The 19,912-nt window shown below is 43.3% G+C and overlaps 2 protein-coding genes, 1 long non-coding RNA gene and 1 pseudogene across 15 annotated transcripts in view, besides 3 other annotated features; 2 read left to right on the forward strand and 2 right to left on the reverse strand.

Annotated features, from left to right (window-relative positions):
• Window positions 1-3,010, reverse strand: part of PLAAT3 (phospholipase A and acyltransferase 3) — a 42,466-nt gene extending 39,456 nt beyond the window's left edge. Inside the window, exons 1-2 of one of the 3 annotated variants that reach the window (NM_001128203.2) lie at window positions 468-516; window positions 83-151 (exon numbers count right to left, since the gene is read on the reverse strand). In NM_001128203.2, coding sequence (NP_001121675.1) covers window positions 83-97 — 15 coding nt within the window. In that variant the 5' untranslated portion in view covers window positions 98-151; window positions 468-516. 3 annotated transcript variants of the gene reach the window in all.
• Window positions 569-648: a silencer, noted in NCBI's record as "silent region_3436". NCBI's record gives its function as "represses an Ori minimal core promoter by ATAC-STARR-seq in GM12878 lymphoblastoid cells {active_cell/tissue: GM12878}" and the evidence as "EXISTENCE:reporter gene assay evidence [ECO:0000049][PMID:35858748]".
• Window positions 669-728: a silencer, noted in NCBI's record as "silent region_3437". NCBI's record gives its function as "represses an Ori minimal core promoter by ATAC-STARR-seq in GM12878 lymphoblastoid cells {active_cell/tissue: GM12878}" and the evidence as "EXISTENCE:reporter gene assay evidence [ECO:0000049][PMID:35858748]".
• LNCROPM (lncRNA regulator of PLAAT3 mediated phospholipid metabolism) overlaps window positions 2,391-19,912 on the forward strand; it is a 42,655-nt gene continuing 25,133 nt past the window's right edge. The window contains exons 1-2 of one of the 2 annotated variants that reach the window (NR_199013.1): window positions 2,391-2,495; window positions 7,287-7,816. This is a non-coding gene — a long non-coding RNA (lncRNA regulator of PLAAT3 mediated phospholipid metabolism). Of the gene's footprint in view, window positions 2,496-7,286; window positions 7,817-19,912 lie in introns of those variants that run through there. The other variant, NR_199012.1, reaches the window with a different exon arrangement.
• ATL3 (atlastin GTPase 3) overlaps window positions 10,170-19,912 on the reverse strand; it is a 47,888-nt gene continuing 38,145 nt past the window's right edge. For 9 of the 10 annotated variants that reach the window (NM_001440720.1, NM_001290048.2, XM_047426725.1 and 6 more), the window contains 3 exons: window positions 19,109-19,180; window positions 17,123-17,554; window positions 10,170-15,488 (listed from right to left, as the gene is read on the reverse strand). In NM_001440720.1, coding sequence (NP_001427649.1) covers window positions 15,402-15,488; window positions 17,123-17,554; window positions 19,109-19,180 — 591 coding nt within the window. In that variant the 3' untranslated portion in view covers window positions 10,170-15,401. The remainder of the gene's footprint in view (window positions 15,489-17,122; window positions 17,555-19,108; window positions 19,181-19,912) is intronic. The other variant, NM_001440718.1, reaches the window with a different exon arrangement.
• Window positions 17,352-18,551: an enhancer, noted in NCBI's record as "CDK7 strongly-dependent group 2 enhancer chr11:63398741-63399940 (GRCh37/hg19 assembly coordinates)". NCBI's record gives its function as "activates an origin of replication core promoter dependent on BRD2, BRD4, P300/CBP, MED14 and CDK7 cofactors, with strong dependence on CDK7, by STARR-seq in HCT116 cells {active_cell/tissue: HCT116}" and the evidence as "EXISTENCE:reporter gene assay evidence [ECO:0000049][PMID:35650434]".
• IMMP1LP1 (inner mitochondrial membrane peptidase subunit 1 pseudogene 1) lies at window positions 18,277-18,905 on the forward strand (annotated as a pseudogene).

Here is a 19,912-nt window from a genome sequence, read left to right on the forward strand (position 1 = left end):
AGTAATTCAGGCTCCGAGACAACGAGTCCCCACTAACAGGGGGCTCCCAGCCCCGCCCAGCCCCGCCTCGCCCCGCACTTACAATGGGCGCACGCATCTTCCCTCGCGGTGTGGACCCTCAAGGCCAGGCTCGATTTCGCTGCGTAGATGTCTGAGGCAGGGGGAGCAGGGATTTATTGTCATTAACAGGAAACTGCGTCTCCAGACCCCACGGGACTGCGGCTTCTGTTGGGCAGGGCGTGAGAGGCGCGCCTCGGACCCCAGGAACAACCACCTCGCTCCCTTTAACAACTTTCTCGCCGGGGCCCGGCGGGCGCCCAGGAGGCTGCAGGTGCCAGCGGGCGGCTCGGCAGGCTAGTCTACACCCGCCCTACCCAATTAGATCTCTTCCTCGCGGAAGGGGAGAAGCATCCCAGGCACCTCGCCCGGCCTTATCGCACCCTTCCAGGAAGACCCGATCCACCCACCTCGCGGTCTCGGAGGCAGCGCTGCAGCCCCAGCAATTGGACCGGGTCTAATGGCCGCGGTGGCCGGGCCGGCGTGAGGTCACCCGGCCCCTCCCCGCGCCGCCGGCTAATGAGAGCCTCGCAGAGCGCCCGGCCCCGGTCCCGAGCCCGGCGACTGCAGGACGCCCGCGCCCCCGGCACCGCCTCTTCCCGCCTCACCCATGCCCTGCGCGCCCAGCATCCAGGAGTCGCACACACTCGACCTCTGCACACACATCACACTGCAGGGCCATGATGGGTTTACTTTCGCCTTCACTCAAGAATGGGCTTATAGTTTAAAAACTGAAGGAGTTAAAAATATACCACCAAGGGCCGGGCGCGGTGGCTCACGCCTGTAATCTCAGCACTTTGGGAGGCCGAGGCGGGCAGATCACGAGGTCAAGAGATCGAGACCATGCTGGCTAACACGATGAAACCCCGTCTCTACTAAAAATGCAAAAAATTAGCCGGGCGTGGAGGCATGCGCCTGTAGTCCCAGCTACTCGGGAGGCTGAGGCAGGAGAATCACTTGAGCCCGGGAGGTGGGGGTTGCAGTGAGCCAAGATCGCGCCACTGCACTCTAGCCTGTGCAACAAAGCGAAACTCAGTCTCAAAATATATATATGTGTGTATATATATGTATATATATGTGTATATATATGTGTGTATATATGTGTGTATATATGTGTATATATGTGTATATATGTGTGTATATATGTGTGTATATATGTATATGTGTATATGTGTGTATATATGTGTATATATGTGTGTATATGTGTGTATATATATGTGTGTATATATGTGTGTATATATATGTGTATATATGTGTATATATGTGTATATATGTGTGTGTATATATATGTGTGTATATATGTGTATATATGTGTATATATATGTGTGTATATATGTGTGTATATATGTGTGTATATATGTGTGTATATATGTGTGTATATATATGTGTGCATATATATGTGTGTATATATATGTGTATATATGTGTGTATATGTGTGTGTGTGTGTGTGTGTGTGTATATACACACCACCATGGCATATTGGCTGTTTTGAATTAAAGGCATTTAAAACTCAGCAGGTGCAAGAAGACCCCTTTTCTGTGTCTTAAAAGCAGATGAAATTTCCATGTTGAAGGACACCTTCCTTATACTAGAAGAAAAAGCAACATCCTTATCCTCAAAGAGGAGATGTTGAGACGGAAAGAATTCTGTACAGACCTTGTTGAAATAACTTTTTTCATTTTTTACTTTTTGGGGTTTTTTGTTTTTTTTTTTTTGAGACAGTCTCACTCTGTCACCCAGGCTGGAGTGCAGTGGCTCTATCTCAGCTCACTGCAACCTCTGCCTTCCGGGCAAGCGATTCTCCTGCCTCAGCCTCCGGAGTAGTTGGGATTACAGACGTGCACCACCGCGCCCAGCTAATTTTTGTATTTTTAGTAGAGACAGGGTTTCAGCATGTTGACCATGCTGGTCACGAACTCCTGGCCCCAAATGACCCACCTGCCTCAGCCTCCGAAAGGGCTGGGATTACAGGCGTGAGCCACCACTCGGCCCATTTTTTACTTTTTAATTGACAAAAATTGCCACGTATTTGTCATGTACAACATGTTGTTTTGAAATATGTATACATTGTGGAATAACTAAATCGAGCTAATTAACATATGCATTACCTCACATACTTCTTTTGTGGTGAGAACACAAAACCTCTCCGTAATTTTCAAGAACATAGTACATTGTTATTTACTATAATCACCATGTTGTGCAATAGATCTGGTGAACTTATTCCTCTATTCCTCCTAACAGAAATTTTGTACCCTTTGACCAACATCTCCCTGACACCCCCCTGTTCCCCCCAACCGCCGTAACTGCCATTCTACTCCCTACTCGTGGGTTCCATTTTTTTAGATTCCATATATAAGTGAGATCACAAAGTATGTGTCTTTCTGTGCCTGGCTTATTTCACTGAACGTAATGTTCTCCAGGAAAATAACTGTTATCTGGTAAGCCTCCCCACATAATTTAGTTGCATCTTTTTAATTTTTATTTTTATTTAAATAGAGACAAGGTCTCAAACTCCTGGACTCAAGTGATCCTCCCTCCTTGGCCTCCCAAAGTGCTGAGATTACAGGCGTGAGCTACCGGGCCCCGCTCTTAGTTGCTTCATTACAACTTACTATTCTTTGTCCAATTCGGTGTAGAAGTAACTGACACCAACTACTTCTTTGGGTCTTCATTTCCTTATGAGGGCTCCTGTGTTGCAGGACGCAGAGGAGTAGAGAGACCAGTATAGGCCGGGCGCGGTGGCTCACGCCCGTAATCCCAGGACTTTGGGAGGCCGAGGCGGGTGGATCACGAGGTCAGGAGATCGAGACCATCCTGGCTAACACAGTGAAACCCCGTCTCTACTAAAAATACAAAAAATTAGCCGGGCGAGGTGGCGGGTGCCTGTAGTCCCAGCTACTCGGGAGGCTGAGGCAAGAGAATGGCGTGAACCCCGGGGGGCGGAGCCTGCAGTGAGCCGAGATCGCGCCACTGCACTTCAGCCTGGGCGACAGCGAGACTCTGTCTAAAAAAAAAAAAAAAGGAGAGACCAGTATAGGTGAATACAGGAGGATATTTATTTTAAGGTGCACACCAGCTCAGTGGGTTCACATCCAAAAAACTGAGCCTTGAACAAAGACCAAGCAGGATTTTTATAAGCAAATTTACAGAAGCAGCAAAGCAAAGGCAGTTAATCATATAATGACAGGTCACATAATCTATAGCATAACTGATGACATGGCATAACTTGTGGCCTTGCATAGCTGGTGGCCTTGTAGCTGCATTGAAAGTAAAAACAAGAACTGGCTAAATTTCTTTTAGCCAGATATTTTGTCCTTTTTTTTTTTTCTTTCACCTTTACTCCGGAGGTGGGGCATCTGGAGCCTATTCCTTTGGTTTTGACTTCTCAAACAGCATTATCTTATAACTGTCCTTGAAGTGAGCTTGCTAGGCAGAGGAAAACTTGCTCTTCTTTTCTTTTTAACCATTGCCTTGCCACATTCTGGGCTTTGGCTTTTACTTTTCTTGGAGTGAATGAATGCAGTACTTATTATTATTTTTAAATTTCTGCCTCACCTATGCCAGTAAAACTTGTATTAAAGAAATGTGTATGCTTTTCTCCTGTTAATCTTTTTTATTTTTTTGAGACAGGGTGATATGGTTTGGATCTGTGTCCCCACCCAAATCTGTTGTCAAATTGTAATCCCCAATGTTGGAGGTGGGGCCTAGTGGGAGGTGACTGGATCACAGGGGCGAATTTCCCCCTCAGTGCTGCTCTCTGATAGTGAGTTAATGCTTGGGAGATCTGGTTGTTTAAAAGTGTGTAGCACCTCTCCCCTTTCTCCCTTTCTCTTGCTCTGGCCATGTGAGGTGCTCACTCCCCTTTTTCCTTCTGCCATGACTGAAATGTCCTGAAGCCTCCCCCAGGCTTCCTGTACAGCCTGCGGAACCATGAACCAATTAAACCTCTTTTTTTTTTCTTTTTTGAGAGGGAGTTTCCCTCTGTCACCCAGGCTGGAGTGCAGTGGCGCAATCTCAGCTCATTGCAACCTCTGCCTCCCGGGTTCAAGCAATTCTCCTGCTTCAGCTTCCCGAGTAGCTGGGACTACAGGCATGTGCCACCATATCCAGCTAATTTTTCTATTTTTAGTAAAGACGGGGTTTTGCCATGTTGGCTAGGCTGATCTCAAACTCCTGACCTCAGGTGATCCGCCCACTTCGGCCTCCCAAAGTGCTGGGATTACAGGTGTGAACGACCGCAACCGACTTAACCTCTTTTCATTATAAATTACTGAGTCTCAGGTATTTATTTATAGCAGTGCAATAACACAGTGTCTCGCTCTGTCACCCAGGGTGAAGTCAGTGATGAGATCATAGCTCACCACTATGGCCTTGACCTCCTGCACTCAAGTGATTCTCCCACCTTAGCCTCCCAAGTAGCTGGGATGACAGGTGCCCACTGCACAACTGGCTAATTTCTTTTTTTATTTAAGCAGCAGTGTTTTACTATGTCACCCAGCCTCGTCTGCAACTCTGGGGTCAAGTAATCATCCCGCCTCAGCTTCTCAAAATGCTGGGATTCCAGGTGTGAGCCACCACACCTGGCCCTGTTGATCTATCTTATGTCAATGTAGTTCTTAGGCCCAGCTGAGACCCTAAGAGGATGGAGGTGGGGCTCACAAAACTGTATTAAATTTAAAGCTATTCAAAGGCAAGGATCTAGCAGAAAGTGCTTTTAACTATTGGGTCTTAATGTCATCACATATCCCCAAATCCTTGCACAAAACCTAGCACATCGGCTGGGCATGGTGGCTCACACCTGGAATCCCAGCACTTTGGGAAGCCGAGGCAGGCAGATCACTTGAGCGCAGGAAATCGAGACTAGCCTGGCCAACACAGTGAAACCATATCTCTACTAAAAATATAAAAATTAGCCACTCATGGTGCTGGGCACCTGTAATCCCATCCCCGCTACTCAGGAAGCTGAGGCAGGAGAATCATTTGAACCTGGGAGGCAGAGGTCGCGGTGAGCTGAGATTGCACCACTGCACTCCAGCCTGGGCCACACAGCGAGACTCCATCTCAAAAAAAAAAACCTAGCACACCATAGGCATTCCATGAATGAAAGCATGAATGAAGAATGAATGACCAACACAGGCTCTTTCTCTGCACTGGGATATGACTTCACACGAGTAGAACCAGCTCTTGTTCATCTCTGTATTCCTACCACTCCAGTGCCAGTACTGAGCCTTGCAGTCAGGATGTCCGGACCAAATCCTGACCCTGCCACTTACTATAATAGTTGTAGGGCCCAGGCCATGTTTTCTTCTCTGAACTGTTTGTCTGTAAAATAGGGCCTTAGTGATATTGTATAATGTTTAAGAATACATTCCCTGGCAGGGCGCAGTGGCTCACGCCTGCAATCCCAGCACTTTGGGAGGCTGAGGCGGGAGGATCACGAGGTCAAGAGATCGAGACTATCCTGGCCAACATGGTGAAACTCCATCTCTACTAAAAATAGGAAATTAGCCGGGTGTGGTGGCACACACCTGTAGTCCCAGCTACTTGAGAGGCTGAGGCAGGAGAATCGCTTGAACCCGGGAGATGGAGGTTGCAGTGAGCCGAGATATGCCACTGCACTCCAGCCTGGGCAACAGAGTGAGACTCTGTCTCAAAATAAAAAAATGTAAAAAAAAAAATACATTCCCCAAAGACAGAGCAACAAATGAAATGATGCTTATAAAGTGCTGAGCCCTCAGATCACGAGGTCAGGAGATTGAGACCATCCTGGCTAACATGGTGAAACCCCGTCTCTACTAAAAATACAAAAAATTAGCTTGGAATGGTAGCAGCGCCTGTAGTCCCAGCTACTTGGGAGGCTGAGGCAGAATGGTGTGAACCCGGAAGGCGGAGCTTGCAGTGAGCTGAGATCGTGCCACTGCACTCCAGCCTGGGTGACAGAGGGAGACTCCGTCTCAAAAAATAAAATAAAATAAAATAAAATAAAAATAAAGTGCTGAGCCTGACGTCTGGCACGTGGTAAATCCTCACACAACACACGGTGGCTGTTATTAACATGAGAATAGGTATGTGCCCATCAACATCACATGATCTTCACCAGCTTTCTGACAAGGAGACTCAGAGGCAATATAAATACCATAGCTTTATGTGCCTTATCACTCATCAAACAAATTACGGAGCACCCTGAGCCAGGGACTGACTATAAGGTCATCCAAACCCAGGATGGACAGGTTCGGTTTTGAGGCAGCCGGGCTGACTTCTGCCTTTCCTCACCCTCTGCTTCCAGAAGCACCCAGATGTCACCTCCCTTATCTTTTCCTGTTGCTGTGCCAGAAAAAAAGCAAAACAAAACCAAAAAAAAATCATACTGGGAAGGGGGAACAGTACTGAGGGCTATGTATTTTCACTTCTCACACAGTTCTCAAAAGAGGAGCTCTCTAAGAAAGGCCCCGGGACTTACTGAGAAACTGCCCCATGATGCCACACCATCACCAACAAGACGGTCCTTACCCCCCGCACAGAGCAGGTGGACAGGTGGACTGTGATGCCAGGATCCAACTAGTGTCCACCTCCAAAGCTTCCAGGCTTTTCTGCATAGCATGGCTATGAAGCCCCATTCCTCTTGTGATAAGGAGGAAACTATTAATTTTTTTTTTTTTTTGAGACGGAGTCTTGCTATGTCTCCCAGACTAGAGTGTTGGAGTGCAGTGGCATGATCTCAGCTCACTGCAACCTGCGCCTCCCAGGTTCAAGCGATTCTCCTGCCTCAGTCTCCCAAGTAGCTGGGATTACAGGCCCACGCTACCACGCCTAATTTTTGTATTTTTAGTACAGACAGGGTTTTATCATTTTGGCCAGGCTGGTCTCGAATTCCTGAACTCAGATGATCTGCCTGCCTCAGCCTCCCAAAGTGCTGGGATTACAGGCATGAGCCACCATGCCTGGCCAGTTTTTAAGTATTTGTAATCTCTCCATTCTCTGCCTTCTAAGGAGGATAGATGGATCCTCCAGAATCCATTGTTTTGCTGACTCTCTGAGGAGGAATAGCTGAGCAGGTGGGAGAAAATTGCACAGGCTAATTTGCTTTGCAGGCCTAATAGGCCCAATGGGGAATCTGAGCAAGCTGGGTGACACACAGGAAGGCCAGGGCAGGAGAAAGAAAGGGTGCAAGGGTGACGAGAGAAAGTGAACAGGGAAACTGCATTTTGTTTTTTTTTTTTTTTTTTTAGGGAAACTGCATTTAAAGGGAAGCTGTTTGCAATGCTTCTTTGCACACAAGGAACAGAATCCACAAAGTTCACAACAAGGAACAGAAACCACAAATTTCACAACATGACAACATTCAAAATGGGAGTATGTCTCAAGTGCTCCACCAGCCAGCTGAATGCAGGGTTTTCACAGGTGTAAAACATGTGACTATGCCAATTTTGATAGTTTCCTCTGACCAGAAAAATCAGGCTTTTATGAAAGAAACCAAAAGTGAAGTATAACTTCCTTCTGAATCCCCTTTGAAACCCAAGTCCTACTGAAGAGGAAAGAGAACAAATCCCTATTGAAATGCCCTGAAGAGCTTCCACTGCCTAAATGTGCAGCATAACCATCTCTACCTTCTCTTTAAAAAAAACATTCTAGAGGCTGGGCACGGTGGCTCACGCCTGTAATCCCAGCACTTTGGGAGGCTGAGGCGGGCGGATCACAAGGTCAGGAGTTCGAGACCAGCCTGACCAACACGGTGAAACCCCATCTCTACTAAAAATACAAAAATTAGCATGGTGGTGCGTGCCTGTAATTCCAGCTACTCAGGAGGCTGAGGCAAGAGAATCGCTTGAACCCGGGAGGCATAGGTTGCAGTGAGCCGAGATTGAGCCACTGCACTCCAGCCTAGGCACAGAGCGAGACTCTGTCTCAAAAAAAATAAGATAAAAATAAAAATAAAACATTCCAGAAGGCCAGGACTGGTGGCTCACGCCTGTAATCCCAGCACGTTGGGAGGCCAAGGTGGGTGGATCACATGAGGTCAGGAGTTCAAGACCAGCCTGGCCAACATGGCGAAATCCCGCCTCTACCAAAAATACAAAAATTAACTGGGCATGGCAGCGGGCGCCTGTAATCCCAGCTACTCAGGAGACTGAAGCAGGAGAATCGCTTGAACCCGGGAGGCGGAGGTTACAATGAGCCAAGATTGCACCACTGCACTCCAGCCTTGACGACAGAGCAAGACTCAGTCTCAGAGAAACAAACAACAACAACAAAAAAATTCCAGAACCTTTAACCTGGGAAATGTCCAGGTTTTGTGTCTCTTGTTGTTCAATGGCCATTGTTAACTGGAATTGGTTATCTGTAATGGATTATTTGTTTTGGTCTGCCCAGCAGTCTTTCATTTGGTGACTCCATGTGGTTCTGGTGGAGCTGTCAGTCATAGCACGTGGTCATCACTCTGACTACAGACACCTGCACCCTAGGTCTGGCTGGTTATAATGCCTCAGAGGCCAGGCTAGTGTTGACCATGGAAGGAGCATGACTCAAGCCAAACAAATCAGAAGCCTTCTCTGGAATGGAGATATACACACGTGTTTTTTCATAGGTAGCTCAAAAAAAAAAAAAGCCTGTTTCCTCAGGGCACATTAAAGTGGGATGACATAAACCTGGAACCACTGGTGCCTGTCCTCCCCTGGGGCATGGAGGAAACCTATCTGCAACAGCAGATAAATAGGTCACTGAACACTGAAATAAGAGCCCTGTTGACATTTGAGTTCCTCCAGTGCCTGATGTCAGCTTTACCCCTATATGTCCGATTACAAGAAACTTTTTCCCAGTTAACAATTTTTTCCTTCTTTAAGCTAATTAGAGTTGGACTTGTCTTTTGCAAAGTGATATATGATAATCAAAAGCAAGAATGTCAATGCGCCAAAGACAAGCCAGCTTGCTTGACTGCTCCCCATCTATACAGGACCGCATTCGTCACCCTGGTCCTTCCTTCTCCCCAGTTTATGCTGAGAGCGTCTACACATCAGTGTAGATGGTGGCACCCAAGTCCTGAATCTTTGTTTTCACCATACTCTTCACATCATCAGCCTCTGAGTTTGCCCCTTCCCTGCTAAACTGTGATGAACTCAAGGGCAGCACCTGGCAAAGCACCTGACACATGGTAACAACCAGGGATGGATGGTTGGATAGAGAAAGTCTGCTGATCCCACCCAGTGTTTCCAACTTGGGAAGAAATCTTTTTACTGTAGGGCTAAATGGGGTATGTCTAGCTATTTGTCGTATTTGAGAAGTTCAATTCAATCTCCTCACTGTGTCCATCAGTGAAAGAGAAAGCTTTAAGTAGAGATTTACGTTCCCTGCCCCCACCCCTGAAGAGCAACTGTTTAATCAGCTGGCTCCAGATGGGGCAACTAAATGAAAGTGCTACAAATTCAGAGGTCTTCACAAGTCCATGTTACTGTAAATGAAATTTGCGTAATTTTTTTTGAGAGACAGGGTCTTGCTGTTGCCCAGGCTGCAGTACAGTGATGGGACCGTAATTCACTGCTGCCTCCAACTCCTGGGCTCAAGTGATCATCCTGCCTCAGCCTCCAGAGCAGCTAGGACTACAGGTGCGCACCGTCATGCCTGGGTTTGTTTTTTGTTTTTTCCAGAGACGGGGTGGAAGGTGTCTCCATATGTTGCCCAAGCTGGTCTCAAAACTCTTGGGCTCAAGTGATCATCCTGCCTCAGCCTCCCGAGTAGCTAGGACTACAGGTGGGTGCCACTATGCACTTTTATTTTGTAGAGACAGAGGTGGAAAGTGTCTCCATATGTTGCCCAAGCTGGTCTCAAATTCCTGGGCTCAAGCATTTCTCCCACCTCAGCCTCCCAAAGTGCTGATTACAGGAGTGAGCCACGACACCTGGCCCTTGTGCTCACTTTTAAGCAACCCTGCCAACAATAGAGCCTTCTCCAGGACTATGCTAGTAAGACACTTGTTCAGTGTCGTTTTGTAGGACAGAGAAAGCTAACTCAAACCACATTGCCACTATCCCGTCAGAAGTCTTATTCACTTTGCCAAGCCAAACTATTTCACAGAACCTCCCATATTAAAAACACAGAGAAAGAAAACACAGATAACATGGTGTTGTGATCTTTATTCCATTAAATGATCTTACAAATTGGAGTAAAACAGAAACATGCTTTTAATATACTAATAGCATAATCTCATCCCATTGCACTTTTTAAAAACTATATTAAGTTTCAAAGCCACTCAAAGGCAAGGGTCTAGCAGACAGTACTTTTAACAAATCATTTTTTAAAATAAAAAAACCTGAGGAAAATTTGTGTATGTACAAGATTAGTATTAACTCCTTTAAGGCTTACATCCATGACAGCATGTATCTAATTAGAAAGCTATGGGAATCAATGCTACCTTCCCTTGCTCATAAAAACATTTAAACTGTAGTTCTGGCACACGAAATTTGCCCCAAAGAAAAATGTCTTTCAAAGCCCTTCTGTCCCTAGATCTGTTTTGCAAAGTTTCTGATATGGGGTACTTAGGTCACTAATGACAGGAATTAGGATCTTGTCTTCTTTCTTGTTCATTATTTTTATTTGTGGCTTAATGTTTCACCTGTATGTGAAAGATTTGGGGGTTCAAGTCACAGTGCTGAATTTTACTTTTTAAAAGAAAAACTATCAAAAATTGCTTTTAAAAAATCCTAATTACATTAGAAAATAGGATACCTGTACATTCATTTTTCAGAGAAGGCACTATGACAATGGAGAAAAACAGCTTTAAAGAGCTTAGATAATCCTCTGAATTAAAGGCATTCTTACTACTTCTGAACACAGAAAACGCCTGGGGATTGTACTGGCAAGAGACCACCTATTCTAAACCTCAGGTACAAAGTGTCCACTTGCCTCCAGACAATACTGAATTGTACTTTCTCCTTGGTACTTCCCATTCGATGAAGCAGTCTCTCTCTGTGGTCTCTGAACCACTATTTATAAAAGTGATGACTCCAGGACCACAGCCCATACCACCTGAGGCAATCCCTGGGTACAAAGCTAGGAATCTGAACTTTTTAAACAAGCCTGCTAGGTAAGTCTTATGCACTCCAAGGTAGATGAGAACCACTACCCTAAACATAGCTACAACAGGACTTACAGCAAGAAAAACCATTTGACTGCAAATATTATTTTACAATGGGCTTCTTAATGTCATTTTTAAAAATTAATCACACAAATAGTTTGTACTTTCATAACTGAAGCTTGTCTTCATTATGCCCTTATCCCTTGACTAGAATTTTGTTAAATAAAACATATGTAAGCCAGAATGACACAGCCATGTTGACAACTTGAGATGGAAGATCAAATCATCCTAAATTACATTTCAATAGTTCCAGGAAAGAAAAAAGTCCTGTGAAGACTTCCATGTAAGTTACATCATTTTTTAAAAGAACCTAGCAAAAAATTAAAAACTGTTTTATTAAAGTTTTAATTTTTAAAAAATTAAAAAATTAAAACTGTTTTATTGCTTTTGCATGGACTTGATTCAATCTACTTAATTTTGCTATAACTCATACATACATACATACTTATCCAAACTCACCCTATCCAAGGCACCATTTTACAAGCCAAGTAGAACACTGTGTGTGATCCACTAATGAAACCAACCACCAGTACAAGGCAGTATTTTTGTGTGTTTGACCAAAGCGCTTTACTTCATGTAAGAGAAAAAATAAAGCAAAACAAGGCCAGGTTCCAGTGGCTCACGCCTGTAATCCCAGCACCCTGGAAGGCCAAGACAGGCGGATTCCCAGAGGAGTTGAGACCAGCCTGGTCAACATGGCGAAGCCCTGTCTCTACTAAAAATACAAAAATAAGCCGGGTGTGGTGGCACATGCCTGTAATCCCTGCTACTTGGGAGGCTGAGGCAAAAGAATCACTTGAACCCAGGAGGCGGAGGTTGTAGTGAGCCAAGATTGCGCCACTGCACTTCAGCCTGGGTGACAGTACAAGAGTCCGTCTCAAAAAAAAAAAGGAATAAAGCGAAACACAGGCAATTTTACCAAGTATAAAAGAGGTGTTAAAACGTAAACTTCCATAGAACATTTCTTGGTATACTACGAAAATAAGGCATGACTCAGCTGGGCGGGGTGGCTCATGCCTGTAATCCCAGCACTTTGGGAGGCTGGGGGGAGTGGATCACCTGAGGTCAGGAGTTTGAGACCAGCCTGGCCAACATGGCAAAACCCCACCTCTAGTAAAAAAACAAAAATTAGCCAGGCGTGGTGGTGTACACCTGTAGTCCCAGCTACTCAGGAAGCTGAGACAGGAGAATCGCTTGAACCTGGGAGGTGGAGGTTGCAGTGAGCGAGATTGCACCACTGCACTCCAACCTGGGCGACAGAGCGAGACCTCTGTCTCAAAAAATAAAATAAAATAAAACAAGGCATGACTCTGAAGGTGTTTTATCATACATAGTAGTTTGTCTCATTTTATCTATGAGCCAATCTTACAGAAAGATTTCTCAAAGAATGAAAACTCTGATTCTACCATTTTTACTATAAGCAGCTCATTGAAATTATTTTTTCAAATTATCAACACTTAATTTATCCTGAAATATTTTAATAGAAAATTTTGGAAGCCTCCTTTTATATATTCATAGGAATGAGTTCCATATATTGTTAGGATTGTGTAAAATTAAAAATGCCTGCATGGAAAGCGGCAGAGCAACAGACACGACGCAAACAGGCACAGTCTGAGCATCTGAACCACAAGTAAAAGGTGAGAGAAGTAAAAGATATTATTTTTAACCTGGTTATAAATCTCCCCAGGATGATTTATAGCCAGTAATGATAATGCATCTTTTATTGAAAAAGCTGATATAAAATCATCAATTTACTGTTGAGAGAAAAGAGGCCAAAGAAAACTCTTAAGAACCCTCACTGAGAAAACTTTATAAAACACTTTCCAGAAGCAGAACTAAGAAAAAAAAAAAATGGTGAAGAGGACTTCCTCTGGATAATTAAACCAAGGTCTCTTTATAAGACCAAAACAGAAATGGTGAATTTAAATAGTAACTGAATCTTAAGATTTCATTAAATCATACATTATCACTTTTTTTAAAGTGACCTAATACTTTAGTATGAGTTTTCGACACATCACCCCTTCTTACCATTAAATTTTTTAAGTTATTCTGAAATCTATAAATTTACTTATAGAATGTATTAAAAGCTAAGTATGTCAATATTTACAGAGCCTGCTAATAGGTATGAACTTTCAGAGAGATAAGAGGTCACCTGAAAATGCACCAACATTTCAGAAGCAAGCTTTCAAGTTAACAGTCAAAGCTTGGTTGGCATCACTGATAAATGCAAGTAAACAAGCTGGAATTTTTCTAAAGTGTAACAGCAGTGAATAAAATAGCAAGAACTATTTGCAAGATGGCATATAAATATGAAACAATATGCTGCGAATTTAGGACTTACAAAAATACTTCAGTGGTAAAGTGTCAAAAGAAAATTCTTTGATAAAGAGATTACATGCGAAAAGGGACTTTTTTTCTACCTTCCATTCATACTTCATGTATGTAAAGTTTACACTCAGATCTTACCTTCATGTATATAAAATTTACACTCTTACCTCCCTCCCATAACAAAAGTTAAATTATCTTAGAAATTAAGGCTTATATACCTGAATGTTTATATAAATACTTGCAGGCAAGTTTTAAGTTTTAAAATCCACAATAATTCCAAAAGGAAAAGCAACTAACAGATAAAACTTTTATCTCCTAATCAAGGTAAATAGAAAAAAAGAACTCTTAGATACTTCTAGATATTTTTTATATTTGGGTAGGACTTTGATCCTTGCTAAGGCAAAGCTATCTTAAAGCTACCAGACTAGCCAAAGTAAAATTAAATAGATAATTCACTAAATAAAATGGGTTAATTTTAGCTTCATTATTAAGAACATTAGACACGGCAGAGAATGCAAATTAACATTCTGAATAAAGACCTTAAATCAGGTTATTAATTGCTGCTAAGCCACATGAAATTAGACATCAATTAAACGCAGTAATATTTGTATCTTCCCTCTAATCCTTAATAAAGTTCTGTTCTTATGCAGAACTCTCAAAAACAAAACCCCTCAAATGACAATTACAAGAGTTGTGTAAAACATACATACATATGTAAACCTACAGTGAACCTGACCAAGGCACAAGTTCAAGTGACTTATCAGAGGTCACATGGTTCATTTAAACTTAGCTTTTTTCTTGAAGTATCTAGCGCATTCCTTTTATTATGAGCCACTCTGGCTTTTCAAGGCACGTTTGCCTCTTTTTCTAGAAAGAAGCTATAGGGACCAAAAAAAAAAAAAAAATAGAGCAAGTTGCAACAAAACTGTCAGCCTACTGGGTAAAAACCTCACATTTCAGAGTATGGTATATTTAAATATGACATGATTTTTCCACACTATGTGGCAACAGGATTCCCTATTGTAAATTTTTTTTGAGTGTAATGACATCATTTTCAGTTAGTCTTTAGTTCTGAAGTTTCTCCAAGTTCTGTAAACTTTTAAAAAAGGAATCCTTCTTGGCCGGGCACGGTGGCTCACGCCTGTAATCCCAGCACTTTGGGAGGCCAAGGCGGGCAGGCGGATCACAAGGTCAAGAGACCAAGACCATCCTGGCCAACATGGTGAAACCCCATCTCTACTAAAAATACAAAAAAATTAGCTGGGTATGGTGGCGTACACCTGTAGTCCCAGCTACTTGGGAGGCTGAGGCAGGAGAACTGCTTGAACCCGGCAGGCAGAGGTTGCAGTGAGCCAAGATCACACCACTGCACTCAAGCCTGGTGACAGAGCGAGACTCCAACTCAAAAAAAAAAAAAAAAAAAAAAAGAATCCTTCTCAAAAGAGTAAAGTATAAAAGAAATGTCAAGTTTCACCCGAAAACGGCACCTTTCATGAGGTTATCCTCCATCCCCTCCCCATCGTGTGTGCAAAACCATGGAATCAATCTTAAAAGGCACTAAGTGGCACATAAAGAACTTAAAAGCTGCATTTCCATTTTTCCTCTAGCTTCCTCCTCCATAAAGTGCACAAAGCAGAGTAATATGAAAATAGACACAGGCTTGCATCTATAACAGCAAGGAAAAGAAATGCTTCCAAGAGAAATGGAAGTGTGTTTAATAATTTGAAACCACAGGAGAGGTCTGCTCATTTATTACAGGGCCATGTTTTAGCTCTTCCTGGATCGTCTCAGATCTGCCATTCCTCTGGATATGAACCTGTGGCCGTGGCAGAAACCCAGAAATCAGTAGGGGCTTGTTGTGTTCTTGTTTGATCTTCACGTTAAGATGCTATTGAGCTTTTTTATCCATGGATGGTCTTCCAACAACTGCATCCCTCACAGTGGCCTGAGTGGAATTACCGATATGAGAAGAAGCCTGCAAAAGTCCATTTATTCAACATATAAGTTAATAAAATACAACACAGCAACAAGAAAGTAAGTCCTTAAACTTTCAAAAACCTGTCTCCATCATCGGCATGTTACAGAAAGCAGTTGAATGAAAATGCAGGGATACAGAGAGGCTGTGGCAGCAGCTAACTCCCAAGAGAGCCAGGGGAACATCTGCTCTGTGGCTAGGGTAGGATAGGCAGCTCCTGTGGCTTCACAAGCTGCTAACCCAACTCACCTGTTCATGTTACTCAGAAAAACAAATGTATCATCTCAAAGATCTACAAAACTTGTGACCATGTCAATGTCCAAGAGCTACTGGGTTAGTCAGGTGTGGTGGCACTCGCCTGTAACACCGGCTGCTTGGGAGGCTGAGGTGGGAGGATCACTTGAGCCCAGGAGTTTTAAGTTACAATGAGCTAAGATACCAGCCTGGGTGACAAAGCAAGACCTCGTCTCCAAAAAAAATTTTATAAATAAATAAATAAGCAACCCAATAAATAAATAACCAAGCCACTGGCTTTTGGAAGATTTTTAAATAAAAAAGATACCATCCCTTTCCTAATCCAGTAGGACTCAAAACCGAACATTTTTCGTTAAGTTCATAATTTTTTCAAAGTTCTTGCTTTTCAATGAAGTAAATTAATCTAGAGGGGGTGAGAAGTGAGAATCACATAAAAATTATGTCTGAAGAGCATGTAATTAGAAGTTGCCGACCAGGCGCAATAGCTCATGCCTATAATCCTAGCACTTTGGGAGGCCGAGGTGGGTGGATCACCTGAGGTCAGGAGTTCAAGACCAGCCTAGCTAACATGGCAAAACACTGTCTCTACTAAAAAAAAAAAAAAAAATACAGAAATTAACTGGGCATGGTGTCAGGCACCTATAATCCCAGCTACTCTTGGGAGGCTGAGGCAAGAGAATCACTTGAACCCAGTGGGCAGAGGTTGCAGTGAGCCAAGATCACACCACTTCACTCCAGCCTGGGCAAAAGCGTAAAAATCTGTCTCAAAAAAAAAAAAAAAAAAAAAAGTTGCCAAAGGGGAACACAATCAGTATGTCTAAGTTGGAATGTTTTTGCATTAAAGGGCTATTTTTGGGCTGGGCACGGTGGCTCACACCTGTAATCCCAGCACTTTGGGAGGCCGAGGCAGGCGGACCATGAGGTCAGGAGTTCGAGACCAGCCTGGTCAACATGGTGAAACCCTGTCTCTATTAAAAATACAAAAACTAGCGGGCCGTGGTGGCACACACCTGTAGTCTCAGCTACTTGGGAGGCTGACGCAAGAGAATCACTTGAACCTGGGAGGCGGAGGTTGCAGTGAGCCAAGATCATGCCACTGGACTCCAGCCTGGGCAAGAGAGCACAGCGAGACTTTGTCTCAAAAAAAAAAAAAAAAAGCGGGGCGGGGGCCTTTTTAGACATGGAAACAAAATATTAAGAATAAATATTAATATCCTAAAGGATAATAAAACATACAGTCTATCAGAAAACAACAGCCAACGGAGTGGCCACTGTCTCATGTCTTCACTATGAAATTCTTCCAAACTGAGATATTTTACAACAGAAGCACAAATATCTGCCCATTATCAACCCTCAGGCTCTTCAGCAGCACCACTTACCTGCTCCAACACATATGCGGCACCAAAATCAATAGCTCCGCCCAGCTCACGATATTGACCAGAATACCTGATGTAGCCCCAGGTGAGGAGTGCTATTAACAGTAGTCCAACCATACAGTTGAACAACTGGGCTACAACCTCAAGACCTATGAAGCCAGTGAGGCCTGAGGCTATGTACAAAGCTACAATGCCCGTGAACAGCACTGCAGGGGTTCGGAAGGTGCTGAAGACGTTCTTGCTACCATTGTGCTTGCAGAAGTTCTCATATAATTCCTTGATTTCCTCCTCCAGCTCCTGCTGGTAACGAAAGCTGAAATCCTTCCCACCCATCTTCTTGGTCTTCTTAAAATGGTCCAGAGCAAGTTGTTTGAATTCACAGTGCTTCTCCTCTAGAATGTCTGGAGACAAATAAGGTTTCTCTCCCCCACAAACCTAAAAAGAACAAAGAAACAATATGTTAAAAGATCTCTTCAAAAACAAGTGCCAAATAAAACATGAAAAGATAATGAAAGGATTAGAATGTTTTAAGATGTTAACAATGTATTAATAAGTTAACTTTTAAAAGATGACTAAGACCAATAAAGTCTAGTTTCACTTCCTCTGAAAAGCACACTTAAAAAACCAGGGTGATAATATCAATTGGAAAGAGCAGTGACACTGGGACGGGTGCGGTGGCTCACGCCTGTAATCCCAGCACTTTCGGAGGCCAGGGCGGGCAGATCACTTGAGGTCAGGAGTTTGAAATCAGCCTGGTAAACATGGTGAAACTCCGTCTCTACTAACACAAAAAAAATTAGCCGGGCGTGATGGCAGGCACCTGTAATCCCAGCTACTCAGAAGGCTGAGGCAGGAGAACCGCTTGAACCCGGGAGGCGGAGGTTGCAGTGAGCCGAGATCGCACCACTGCACTCCAGCCTGGGCGACAGAGTGAGACTCCGTCTCTAAAAAACAAAAGCAAACGGTCGACTTCTGCAGGGCCCAGGTGAGAAAGGCCCACCTGTGTCCTGGTTGAGGGTCCTCAGGGTTCTTTGGGACCCGAGGATTCCTGAAATCATGGATCACCCACATACGCTTTGAGACATGCTTTAATTTTTTTTTTCTGGAAGCCCTGCGACTTCCCTAAAAATTAAATGAATTATAGAACAGATCTATGACCAATGGTGGCAGAGTCTACATAGAACTATGCTTCGTGGTGCTCTGGGGAAACCTTCTGACTTGTTGGCTATGCTATTCAGTATGGCTGTATAGCTCACTGTGCTTCTGAATACGTTGGTGGTGTTGTCATGTGTTCTGGACCATCAATGGAGCCTACAATTCAAAATTCAGATACTGTCTTTGCACAAAATCTTAGTCGACATTTTGATAGTATCCAAAGAGGTGACATTGTGATTGCAAAAAGCCCAAGTGATCCAACATCAAATATTTGTAAAAGAGTAACTGGTTTGGAAGGAGACAAAATCCTCACCACTAGTCCATCAGATTTCTTTAAAAGCTACAGTTATGTCCCAGTGGGTCATGTTTGGTTAGAAGGTGATAAATCTACAGAATTCTACAGATTCCAGTTACTATGGACCTATTCCATATGAACTAATAAGAGGACGAATCTTCTTTTAAGATTCGGCCTCTGAGTGATTTTGGATTTTTATGTGCCAGCCTTAATGGCCACAGATTTTCTGATGATTAGTAAGCATTTATTCTTTTGACTTGATTATTGTCTCCTGCTCATGTGAATTTATTACTCCCATTGAAACTATGTACTTACCAATAAACTATTTGCTATTCAAAACAAAACAAAACAAAACAAGAACAAACAAACAAACAAAGAAATGGTAATAATTAGAAGGCCCCCGTTACCAGGACAACCTGAATATAAGTTTATTGCCTCATCACTTAAAGATACATTAAGTAGGATCAAGTTGGGCTTTTGAAGTCAGCAACAATGCCCAGATTATAGATATTTCAGAATAAGGCGTATGTCCCACGTACCTCTTCCATGTTGTTATAATAAATGTCCTTGGCAGAGGCTGCAGCTGCTAAGTTGTTGGCTTCAGCAGTGGCCTTTTAAGAGAGAAAAACGTGAACTGTAAATCCTTCCTCTTTTAACATTCCTCCACAAATAACCTAACAAAAATCTTCTCTATTCCCCATTCTTCCTTTTTTATTAACCTTCTATTTTTCTAGATTTCCATATAGTTCAACTGATGAAATAGAATACACTTTTTCTGCCAAATTTTCTACCAAAAAAAGGTAGAAGTTCATATACATAGAAATATGTATTCTTATACATAAGAATCTTTAGCAAAAATTAAATCTCCAAAATTCAAGGAAAATATTATTTCCATTGCATCAATTTATTTTTTAATTGTTTAAATTTTTCTTTTTTTTTAAGACAGAGCCTCACTCTGTCACCCAGGCTGGAGTTCAGTGGTAATCTCAGCACACTACAACCTTCGCCTCCTGAATGCAAGCCATCCTCCTGCCAGTGCGTGCCACCACGCTTGGCTAACTTTTTAAGTTTTTGTTTTGCAGAGCTAGAGTCTCCCTATATTGCCCAAGCTGATGTTGAACTCCCAGGCTCAAGTGATCTGCCCACCTCAGCCTCCCAAAGTGCTGGGATTACAGGAGTAAGCCACCACACCTGGCTCCATTGCTCCAACTTTAAGAAATAGATGTGAGTCAAAAAAAAAAAAAAAAGAAGAAGGAAAGGTTGGGCGTGGTGGCTCACGCCTGTAATCCCAGCACTTTGGCACTTTGGGAGGCCGAGGCTGGCGGATCATAAGGTCAGGAGTT

The sequence above is a fragment of the Homo sapiens genome, chromosome 11 (assembly GCF_000001405.40).
Source record: "Homo sapiens chromosome 11, GRCh38.p14 Primary Assembly".
NCBI lineage: Eukaryota > Metazoa > Chordata > Mammalia > Primates > Hominidae > Homo > Homo sapiens.